We start from the raw sequence: 11,290 nt of genomic DNA on the forward strand, positions 1-11,290 counted from the left end.
ACATTGACTTACCTTCTTTTCTTCATGGGTTCACGTTCCTGTTTATTACTGAATTCAGTTAAGGACACAGAAGGTGTTATCTTCCTGCCAAATCTCTATTGTGTTACTTAGACAACAGATTCACCCCCACTATTCATTCATACCCTGATGAACATTCAATGCCTAATAACCTACTGAAGTCTCACAGAGAAATGGGTACGTGGGAGGGTCTGGTGGTGGTAAATTCTGCACTGTGAAATGTTTTCCTTCGTTTTTATTAGAAGCTCAAACCAACCTCAGAGCTCCTCACATAGTCAATCGCCTGCTCAAATCTTTCCAATAGATTCCTATTTCAGAATAAAAGGAAAGTTCCAGGGCCTCCGAGGCCCTAGGTAAACTGGCCTCCACCTTCCTCCCTGATCTCGGCTCCTACAACTCTGTTCCCCACTACTCACTCCTTTCCCACTATACGTGTATCCCTGTCACCCCTCACTAGTCTGAAAATAGGGTTCCAATGCTAAACTAATAAATCACATAGAGCTACAATGATCTTTGTACAGGACAAAGTGATATTCAAATGATAGTCATGGAGCCTTGAGATGAAAATTATGAACAAATTATTTGTAAAGATATTCAAAGTAAATTACACATAACAGTGAGAAGATTAAATCAAACAAGGCTTTGATAACATTCACCACATTTGTCCCTAATGTTGATTTAATAAAAAGTATATGCCTTTAAAGAATTGAGTGGTCATTGCAACACATAATTTGAGATGGACATATTTTCAGATTCAAGTCGAATGGACATGAATAAAAATAAAATTATGCCAAATAAAATACATAAAAAGCTACTGATGTAGAAGTATTATGAGATTCAGTCATACACTCCAGTTCACCTGGGAAAACTGGAATTAACTGTCAAAATAACTCACTGAACTGAATTTTAAGTTTAAAAGTACTCATTCTAGGAGTAATCATTTCCATTCATCTGCTTCATCATGGTCTTCACGTAAAGACGTTAAAATTATTCTATCAGGAGTATAAGACTGCTTTATTAATACTAGTCTATATCTATTAACAACTTGTAACAACCTCCTAAAATTTCATAGGTGACAGTATGTCTTTACTCAGAGTAAAGCATCTCTCAGGTCTAACTTTTATTTACTGAGAATAAGGTATGTTTTTAGGCTGATATAGCAAATACCTTGACAATCCATCTATCTTCATATTCAACTCCATTCAACATTTAGCCATAACCAGATATTACTTTACATTTTCTTTCAGAAAGTTTGAAAAGTATTTATCTTTCTTGATACTTACTTCTCTTTCTGCTTTCTCATTTCCCTGTTGTTGAAGCCTTTTAAAAAAATGATTGCATTCGTTGATTAATGTCTGATTTTTCTCTTCTAGCTTTTCTTTCTCAGCTTGAAGATTTTTCACAGTAGCACGAGATTGGTCTTGGATAGTAATTATTGTCTTTTCTTGATTGTCAGCTTTGTTGTAAGCATCATCCAGTTGCTGTGGAAGCAACATATTTTCACTCTGCAGTTGAGACAGCCTCGCCTCTACAGATTCCTGCTTTCCAATGAATTCCTTCAGTTACATTGTTTATTTTGATACATTTGTTGAATTTCCTGGATTTGACACTGGGTTTGGCGTAGGTCTCTTCCCATGCATTCTGAAACAAACCTCTTTTCTGCTTTTCTGTAAGAGCATCTCTTGTGTGTTGGAACTTAAGGCTTAGGCTTTCCAAGTTACTTTGAGTTCTAGACAGTTGCTGAGAACGAAGGACACTGTTAGCTTTTAGGTCATCAAAATTCATTTTCTCCGGTAAATGAAACCATTCATCTTTTGCTCCCTGGAAAGCAAGTTCCACGTCTCTTTTGGATGTCTCACTTTGTTCACAATCACGTCTAACAGCAGCCAGTCTGCAACGGTGTGATTCAACTTCTGTCTCCAGGCTTTCTTTCTTTTGTTTTTCCCTCTCCAGTTGAGAATGGAGCATGGTATTCTCAGCTGTCAGGACACCAAGCTGTGCAGTATACTCGGATATCATTGTTGTTAATATTTCCCCATTCCGTTTTATTGTCTTTTGCAGGTCACCAATGTCCTCAAAATAGTTCTTTTTATTTTCCTCGTTCTGTTTTTCTATTGTGTCTATTTCCAGTCTGAGGGTGGCAATTTCGTCCTGCAACATGCGATTTTCATGCAACAGATCTTGTACTTTGTCATGGCTGTGAGGAATCTAAATGAAACAAAGGAAGCGCTCACTAGCTAGCACTCAGTAAAAGGACATGTCTTGGTTTCCTCTGAAATTAAATCATACCCTATACATTTATACAATGAAAGGGTTGCCATCAGTTGATATGCAAAGGGATAAAAAGTTGTATCAAAACCTCAAACCTTATTAAACATAAATTCCTCAATGTCCAAAAGTTTATTTGAAGACAACAAATTCATGAAAGTTAAAAACTAAACCTCTAGAGAATGTTTAAGAATCTCACAATAAGAAAAGTTTTTCCCTAAATTACAAAAAATCCAAAGGCATAACATAAAATATTAATAAATTTGAATCCACTAAAAATTGGGTTTACACTCTGATATCTAACCTGTACACCACCCCATAGCAAGAGCCGTAGCTCTGGGTATCTTTGGACAGATGAAATTTCCCAAAGATCTTCAAGTTCATTTTCCTGAGAATATTCTACAGATATTCTACTTATCTAACATATAATATTCTATAAGTATTCTACTTTTCTATCATTTTTATAATGTTGTAATAGTTACATTTATTGATAAATGATCCATCAAGTCATTGTACTAAGCACTTCTACATACATCAATAAACTCATTTACCACAACTCTGAAAAGGAGAGTTTACAAATAGAAGCAAGCTGCAAGATTTTCCCCAGGTCTTCTGATTCTACTTCTGGTGCTCCTCCCCAAAATCACTGTTCCTTCTGTGGTGTAAATATGTAAATACAAAAGAAGCTTATTTCTCCAAGACACCAATGGTAAATAGATGAATTTTACAGAGCTCTTCTTAGAAAATCATGAGATTACTTGCTGTTTCAATAACTTTTGTTTCCTTCACAATGTTAGAAACAGTATTAAATGTGAGATAGGAGAAAACACTAAACTAGCTCACTAGGAACAAAATACTACTTATCAATAAATTACCACTAAGTATACATTATGGTATCTTACTGTTTTGAAAAGCTTTTTGTACTGAAATAAGATACCACTTGGAGAAAACTGCTATTCTCAAAAGTGAGGAGAATCACATTCAAAATAATGGTCTCTGAATTGGCTGTACTTTCTTGCAAATAATAAACTAACCTCTCCACTAATAAATCAAGGGGATGAAATCACTTCCAAAAACTAGAACATCTATTGTTAGTAGCAAGGGTTTGGAGATAATGGGGAGATCATCAATTCCTATGGAAAATATTAAAAGCCTCTCCTTAGGATGAGGCCATCATGAGAGTCACTGCTTGACCACTGCACACAGATGGAGTTGAATTTAAAACATGACTTTATCCAGTGGCCAAAAATGCCACCACCACCACTCCCCCCACAACTATATGGACACACACCAATGGTTTTAAAATATTCTCTACTTGCCAAGATACATATGGTTGGATTTTAAATATATATACACATACAGATATGTATACGCACACATATTTGAGAATGACTGAAAGAAAATACCTGAGAATTCCTTTTCCTTCGAGCCAGTGCTATCTCCTTTTGTTTGCAAAGGTGATTGGTCAGAATTTCATCTTGTAATATTCTGGCGTTCTGTTCCCGAGAAAGTTGCCTCTGGGTGTCATTTAGCTCTTGTACAACCTAGAAATACATTAGATTTTTGGTCTAATAAACATTGAAAAAGAAGTCTAAAACATTAAGAGCAGAACCTTTAAAAAAACTATTTAATAAGTAGCCTATTAAAACATAAAAACCTTTTTCCTTGAAGAATTACACAGCTTTAATGGTATAAGTAACAGCTAAATTCATCAGAGTAAAAACATTTTTTTAAATACAAGCAGATATAGTATGGTGAGGTAAAATTTCTTCGCAACATATTTAACTAGTTTCAATACAGTTTTAAAGCTATTTATCCTGTCTTTTAACTTAAAAATGCCTAAATGAACATTTATGTTAGTGATCAAACTCAACGCACCCTTTACTCAGGAAACATACTGAGCATCTATTTGATAACAATGATATAATAAGTAACTTTAGCTATAAATGTCATAGGTTATTTTTAATTTTTGATTTTTTAAGCCTAAGATATTAAAACAAAAGGATATTATAAGTAATACTGATGAAGTAAAATTAGAAATGGAAACTTTTTACCACAGATGATTTTACCTGGTTCAAATGATTTCTTACTGTCCTCAATTCCGTATCTCGTGTTCTCAGCGTCAGCTGAAGTTGTTTGTTTGCTTCAACTTCTTTCCTGTACTGCTCTTCTTTTCTTCTTAAGTGTCCCCTGATTTTTTCATACAATGCACTGGCATTTTTTCTCTTCTCTTCTTCTTGTCTTAAGGTAGATCTGCAGTGAAATGTGTTTATCTTGATATTAGTTTCATTAGAAAATAAAAAGTTCATTTTGCAATCTGGCTCTCCACGTGTTGGTTGCTATCTTAGTAAAATGTCTGTGCTTGTGAGTGTTTTTCCTTTCTAGTTCTTATATTTCCAATTTCTTACTTCCATCTCTTCCAAAGGATGTATACTTGAAAGGTAATGAGGAAAGAAAATCCTGGTAACTGGGAAGTTTCTGTTCCTAGTAACTCTGGCAAATATTATAGAAAAGGATATTGGAAATTATTCAGCAACATTACAGGTAGAAAAATTAACTTTTTTTCCCCTATACAGTTGTAATTGCTCCTCAATTAGGGCAAGTAATTTAGAGTTAGCTAATTAAAAAGAATTTGCCATTTATAAGCATGTTTATAAATTCACTAGAAATAAATGTTCATCTTCATGAAATAGTGCAGGTACCCCTAAAAATGATTTACAACGTAAAAGAGCACCTTCAGCTGCTTTTCACACATGTATCAGCAGATTACTATAATGCAAGACTAGGTTAAGGAGTCTAATCCGCTACCCCACACTTTTGAGCTTTCTTTTTTGGGTGACACTTTGGACAGTATGTGTTTTTCACATAGAACTCTGAATTAATTTTATCTGTGGAAAAGTGAGAGGTGTGGAATAAACTAATCTGAAATCACTTTCCATTTCAAGTTTTATTTCATGCATAGTAAGAATAAAACTATAAATTTAAAAGAATTAATCTGAGTTTTTAAAAAATGGACATTTCATACTGTGTTGGCTAAACTGCAAGTTAATATAAATTTTCTTGTGAACAACTGAGAAATAGTGACAAAGGCCATTTGTTAAAAGTTTTTATAATTGAACAACAAAAAAAATCTATATCGAAGAATTTATTCAAAGTAAATAACCAAAAATGTAGAAAAAGATTTGTATAAAAGATGTTCCTTGCAACATTATTTAAATACAAAAAACTTTAAAACCCCCAATTCAATTTGCTAAACCAATGATGAGATTTCCATATGGTAAACTCCTATATAGTCATAAAAATGATGATTTAAAAGAGTAAGCAATTAGTTATTTGTAGAAGTATTCACAGTAAAGAACTTGTTATATCATATCAAAGAATTTCACACTGCAGAAGACTCAGAAGTTCTCTCCCCTGTTCAGCCCCAGAAGGTAAGTCAGTAATTACATATTTTTAGCATAAAGGAAATACTTCAACCATTTCTTTATAACTAGGGTGTCATGCCTCAAACTGTAGAAATCTCGTTCCCATTCATCACTTTGATGTTCTAACTGTAATTTTATTTCTGTTGTTTCAGATAACTCCTTTTGTAGTACATGGACCTCATTTTCCATTTTTTTCATTTTTACTGTAAGTAGTTCACAGTGATTTTTTTCAACTTCTATTGATCTTTCCCATGAATGAACTGCATCCTGAATTTTCAGTAGGTTAACAGGATCTGTATCAGAAAGAAAACAAGACAGACATGAGATAAATTATAGGAAGAAAAAAATTCTACACAAACTCTCCCCAAAAAGTAAAGAGCAGGAGTACATCCCTATGCATTCTAAAATGCTAGCATTACTCTGAAAAAAATCAGACTTTGATATTACAAAAAAATAATAATAAACAGCTCTCTTGGGAACATGGATAAAAAAATTCAACCAATTTTTTTTGTTTCACTTGTGATTGTATTATTGATTTGAGATACTAAAGTAACACATTTCTAAAGCAACCTAAAAGAATTCATTATTTATGTGTGAGGCCAATCACAGTTCGTAACAGACAAAACCAAATATGTCAACATTTTACAGCATTCTTCAAAGGAAATCATGATTCCCAGAATAGAAGAATATAGGAAAGTGTCCAATGCCCCAATTTTAAGCTCTGCCAGCCACTTCTTTAGTGAGACTCCAAATAAGTCCTAGACCTGCACATCAACCCATAACACTGGGTTGATGATATCTAACAGTTGCACAGTTTTACAAGATGCTAAGCATTTTCCTAAGAAAGCACCCTCACATGAACATAAAAACACCTTAAAATATAAAATACTATACACATATAAAACATTGCTATTATTGCATCTATACAGAATTTTCTCCAATTTGAATTGTTTTAGGGAGATGACCAATTAACTGGCCTGAGTTCCACAAATGATTTGCCTGTCTGTAAATCATGTTGTTTTAGGTCAGTAGTTCTTAATCTCGGCTTATCTGTCCCTCTTCAAACAGGGGAGTTAAATATTTAACCGGGGAGCTTTAAAAACCTCTGATGACTGGCTCTCCTACTCTCTCCTGCCCCCATATTCCAAGAATATTGGACTGGGGATTTCAAAAGCTCTTCTGTGGGGATCTAACATGCAGCCAGTGTGGAGAACTACTGTGTTAGGTGAGGGTAAGACTTGCCTTTGTAAGCCACTGTGAAAATTCCCTGTGCCTGACATGCCCCCTTCTTGTATCCCTTGTGTTTGGGTAGACCTTGTCATAAATACTTATCTCAATGACTCCTGCGCCACAGAACCTTGGGCATCTCTTTATGGCTAAGTGGTGTCTAAAAATGGGCTTTGGATCATTAAATCACAAAATCACACCTTCTTCCCATGGCAGGCGTTCTCATTGGTTACCGGCTAAAGAAAATTACCATGCAAGCAGGGAGATGCTGCCTGTCTCAATATTATAGATCTTTCCTTTATTTGCTTTCGATCAGTACTTTTTTTGGCCTACTTCCTCAGTTTTATGTTTTCCTAAATATCCATTTCTTCTGTCCTGTCATTGATGGTATTTTAGCAGTAGGCTAGCTGTTACTAGCAACGTTCCAAACTCTGTTTGAGGAGGGGGAGATAAGCACACCATTACCCCACAAGGTAGGGCATCAGATTCAGTGCTTCTGCAGTTAACAGAATAAAAGGGACAGTGAGCCAACAGCTCCAATGCCATCTTTGCTTCATCATTTAAACAAACCACTATTTTAGATAAGGAAATTTATGTTGGATTCTCAGGACAGCCATTGATTATTATTCATTCTGACACAGTCTCGTTAATATAGTCATCCGTGCATCTTTGTCAGGACATCTGTGATGGAGTGTTTAGTTAGTTCCTTTTGAAATAAGGCAGATTTGGTGTAGTATCAAAAATTGATGGATGTCTTATCCTCATTCATTCAAACAACAAACTATCTAAATGACCTAAAATATACTTGGTGCTCACATAGTCTGCTTTTGGAGAATCAAAATCACAACTCTCGCTGTCCAGTCAAATGCCAAAAAGCAACAATTATGCACCTACTATGCCAAGACTCTTTGTCCAGTTGAGTTAAAATCATCTGTTTGTTTTTGTGGTGCTAAGGACTGCATTCACTGAGATTAATGCGGCCCGTCCAACTTGAACAGGCCACCTCATTAATCTAAAAAGAATAAAACATGTGACATGGACTGCTGTTGTTTGCAAACATTTAAAAGTAGAAAAGCAAGTGATGAAATTGAGGCTGGCAACCCTGCACGCTCAGGACTGGCTGTTTTCTGGAGGAGGGAATGACACTGAGTCCTCTCATTCCAGGGAATCCTAGGTAATTGCTGGAGGCAAAGTCTGAATGGCAGTCTTCACTTGCCTGGTAGGGCATGCTTTGACAGACCACCATCATTTATGGGGCCAAGCTGGTGGATGAGGTGTTCTAGCAGAAATAGCAATAAAACTGAAAACTGAAGAAATGTCTGTTGTTACAGTAAAGTCAACTTTAAGGAATGTCCCTGAAGAGAGTAGAAACTTTATCTATCACTAGCAAAATAAACTCTCATGTGAAGAACTTCTTCCCATATAGAAAACAGGTAGCCATGAAGTAACACATGATTATAAAGCTATTGAAGATGTTTGCCCAAGGTGGCCTCATAGCATAGTGACTTGCTTCTGTCTGCCTGTCTTCACTCTCTTGGTTCAGCAGTTCAGTAAAACAGTTATGAGCAACATGCCCTACATTATCGCAAAAGTGCTCCACTATAAAACTATAAAAGCATGATAAACAGTATCATGATAAGTACCATAATAGAAACATAATATTCTTCTTGCCACAGTTCCTGCAAAAGTGGGGAAAACCTCCCAGGTGGTGACCTTCAGGCAAAACAGGCAGTAAAAGGCATTTTTAGAATCACACACATCCTACCAAGGGAAAGGAAACAGCCATAGAAAAACAAATAATGTAGCTAGTAGAAGCACATCACACTCCAGGCTAGAAGACAATTTTGCAAGACTCAATGCCACAGAAAGCCCACACTGTGTTTCTACTCTGACAAAAATGAGGAATAACACAAACATTTAAAGGTATTCATTCCAGAGGTCCAAATAACAGGTTCAGAGTCAGCAATCCGAATGCTGCTCTTTCCTCCCATAATGGGTTTTCACTGTGACACAGCCAACAGTCTCTCTCTGGGCAATGATTTAGGGCGTAGGTTCAATTTTGCTGGAATCAGGAGAGACTTCACGCCGACACATTCTTTCTCAAAGAGGGGTTCTTTTGATTAGTAAAACAAAATAAGCTACTAATGTAAAGCAAGTAATCTTACAGACTAATGGGATTCATTCTGCATATGAGGAACCCTACGTACGAATTCAGCTTCTGTGTGTGTGACTGTGTTCTAATACTCATTACACTAGAAAAACAGGCCATAGTTCTATATGCATTTCTCCATATGTGCTGAAACATGGTCAGGTCCCATCTGCAAATTTACCTTTAGAAATTAGCTGTAAAGCTCATCCTTATATTCCACCCCTTGTGAAAAGCTGAAAAGCAGATTGGTACCTCACCGTTAAAGACTGCAAAAGCACTACTGACTCTGAAATGCTTCATACTCTTGTAAAGTATATCCTTATACTTGCTGTAATAAATACTTTGATTTATAGATTAATGTTTGTGACAGCTGGCATCATCCAGTTTACCCATGCCAGGGGACGCTGTGGAAATAGGACTAATTAACATTTGCATTTCAGCTTCGGCTACCCTAGCAGGTAGGATAAAGGTCTTGGAGAGGAAGGATGACCAGTAGTGTAACTCTTAAAGTATCCCTTAATCTGTTGGCCTCTCTAAGGCTTACAGAATTATACAAGGTTCAGTATGTCCATGTTTTATTCCTAATAGCTAGTACCAAGTATGCTGGAACAAATGTCTAATTTGAATGAAGTTTAATTACAAAAAGGTTCTCCATTTCAAGACAAAATCTAAAAGAGTAAATCAAACTCAAGCTCAACTCAGGCCCAAGATGGCTCCACTGCTGAGAACTGAATTGCCACCATATTCGTCCAGTGGTCAGCACTGCTCAAGAGCAGGCTTCTAGTACTGCCTGGGATCCAGAGAGTAGAGCAGGGGAGTCCTGGGACCATGTACTCCCTATCTATAGTAGGCAGATTTCCATTTCAGAGCTGAACATTTGAGGACAGCTGCTGAGGCAAAATGCTTGTGTGTAGCCAGAAATAGTAACCCTAAGGTTCTTGGGAAATCACATTTTGTAGTGTTGGACTAGGCAGACTGGTTTAGGTATTCCACAACTGGAAAGACGGGCACAGTTCGTCTGGGCCACTTAGTTTGCCAGAATGGAGCCCGAATCCTCTTCAAAGGATATGTACCTGTAGAAGCTGCTGGTAGTGGGACTAGTTGGGGTTAGGGGGTGAGAGTTAAAGTTTTGTTCCCTGATTCTAGAAGACAGGAATCATACTTGTAATCCCAGAAGGTGATCAGAAATGTTATTTTAAAACTCAAAAACAGATCCACAGACCACCGACTACAGTGACAGTAAGTTTGGGGCAGGCTCTTTAAGTGCAGAAGGTTCCCTGCCTTCGTGAAAACATCTTATGTCTTGGCAACTGGCTACCTTCATATACTGATTCCTTTTTCACAAATAATGCAGGAAAAAGATTGTATATTCTCCCGGAAATAATTGTCCATTTGTCTCACAAGATTAGGGCTCACTGACAATGCACCTAAGTTAGCCAAGAGCTCTGATGAAGATGTACAAGAATAATGTTGTTTCCATGCCTAACACATCTATTCTGTAGTCCATGCATAAATGTGTAATTGTGACTTTCAAACTCTAATTATTTAAGAAATATGTTTTGTAAGGTTACAGTTGCCATAGTCCTTTATATATAAAGTTGCCATAATCCTTCAGGAAAGGATTCACCATTTTAGATGCCAGTAAGAACATTCACGATTCATGGGAGAAAGTAAAAATATCAACATTAACAGGTGTTTGGAAGTTGACTCCAACTCTCACGAGTGGCTCTGAGGGGTTCAAGGTTCCAGTGGAGGAATATACTGCAGAAGTGGAGCCTGAAGATGTGACTGAATTGCTGCAATCTCATGCTAAAACTTGAAGAGAAAAGGAGGTACTTATGGATGAGTAAAGAAAGTGGTTTCTTGAGATGGGATCTACTTATGGTGAAGATGCTGTGAACACTGTCAAAATGACAAAAAAGGATTTAGAAAATTCCATAAATTTAGTTGTAAAGCAGCAGCAGGGTATGAGAGGATTGACTCAAACTTTGAAAGAAGTTCTACTGTGGGCAAAATGCTATCAAGCAGCACTCCATGCTACAGGGAAATCTTTTGGAAAGAAAGAGTCAATCAAGTGGCAAAGTCCATTGCATTATGCCAAGAAACTGCCACAGCCACCCAACCTTCCAGAAACTACCACCCTGATCACTCAGCAGCCATCAACTTTGAGGCAAGACCCTCTACCACTAAAAAGATTACAACA

At 36.6% G+C, this 11,290-nt stretch overlaps 1 pseudogene across 1 annotated transcript in view; it reads right to left on the minus strand.

Moving 5' to 3' along the window:
• Positions 1 to 11,290, minus strand: part of ANKRD26P3 (ankyrin repeat domain 26 pseudogene 3) — an 82,174-nt pseudogene that overhangs the window by 28,046 nt on the left and 42,838 nt on the right. Inside the window, exons 11-14 of the transcript NR_027248.3 lie at positions 5,791 to 6,004; positions 4,356 to 4,539; positions 3,693 to 3,830; positions 1,302 to 2,226 (exon numbers count right to left, since the gene is read on the minus strand). The product of NR_027248.3 is annotated as an ankyrin repeat domain 26 pseudogene 3 (transcript). The remainder of the gene's footprint in view (positions 1 to 1,301; positions 2,227 to 3,692; positions 3,831 to 4,355; positions 4,540 to 5,790; positions 6,005 to 11,290) is intronic.

Source organism: Homo sapiens, chromosome 13 (assembly GCF_000001405.40).
Source record: "Homo sapiens chromosome 13, GRCh38.p14 Primary Assembly".
Classification (NCBI taxonomy): Eukaryota; Metazoa; Chordata; class Mammalia; order Primates; family Hominidae; genus Homo; species Homo sapiens.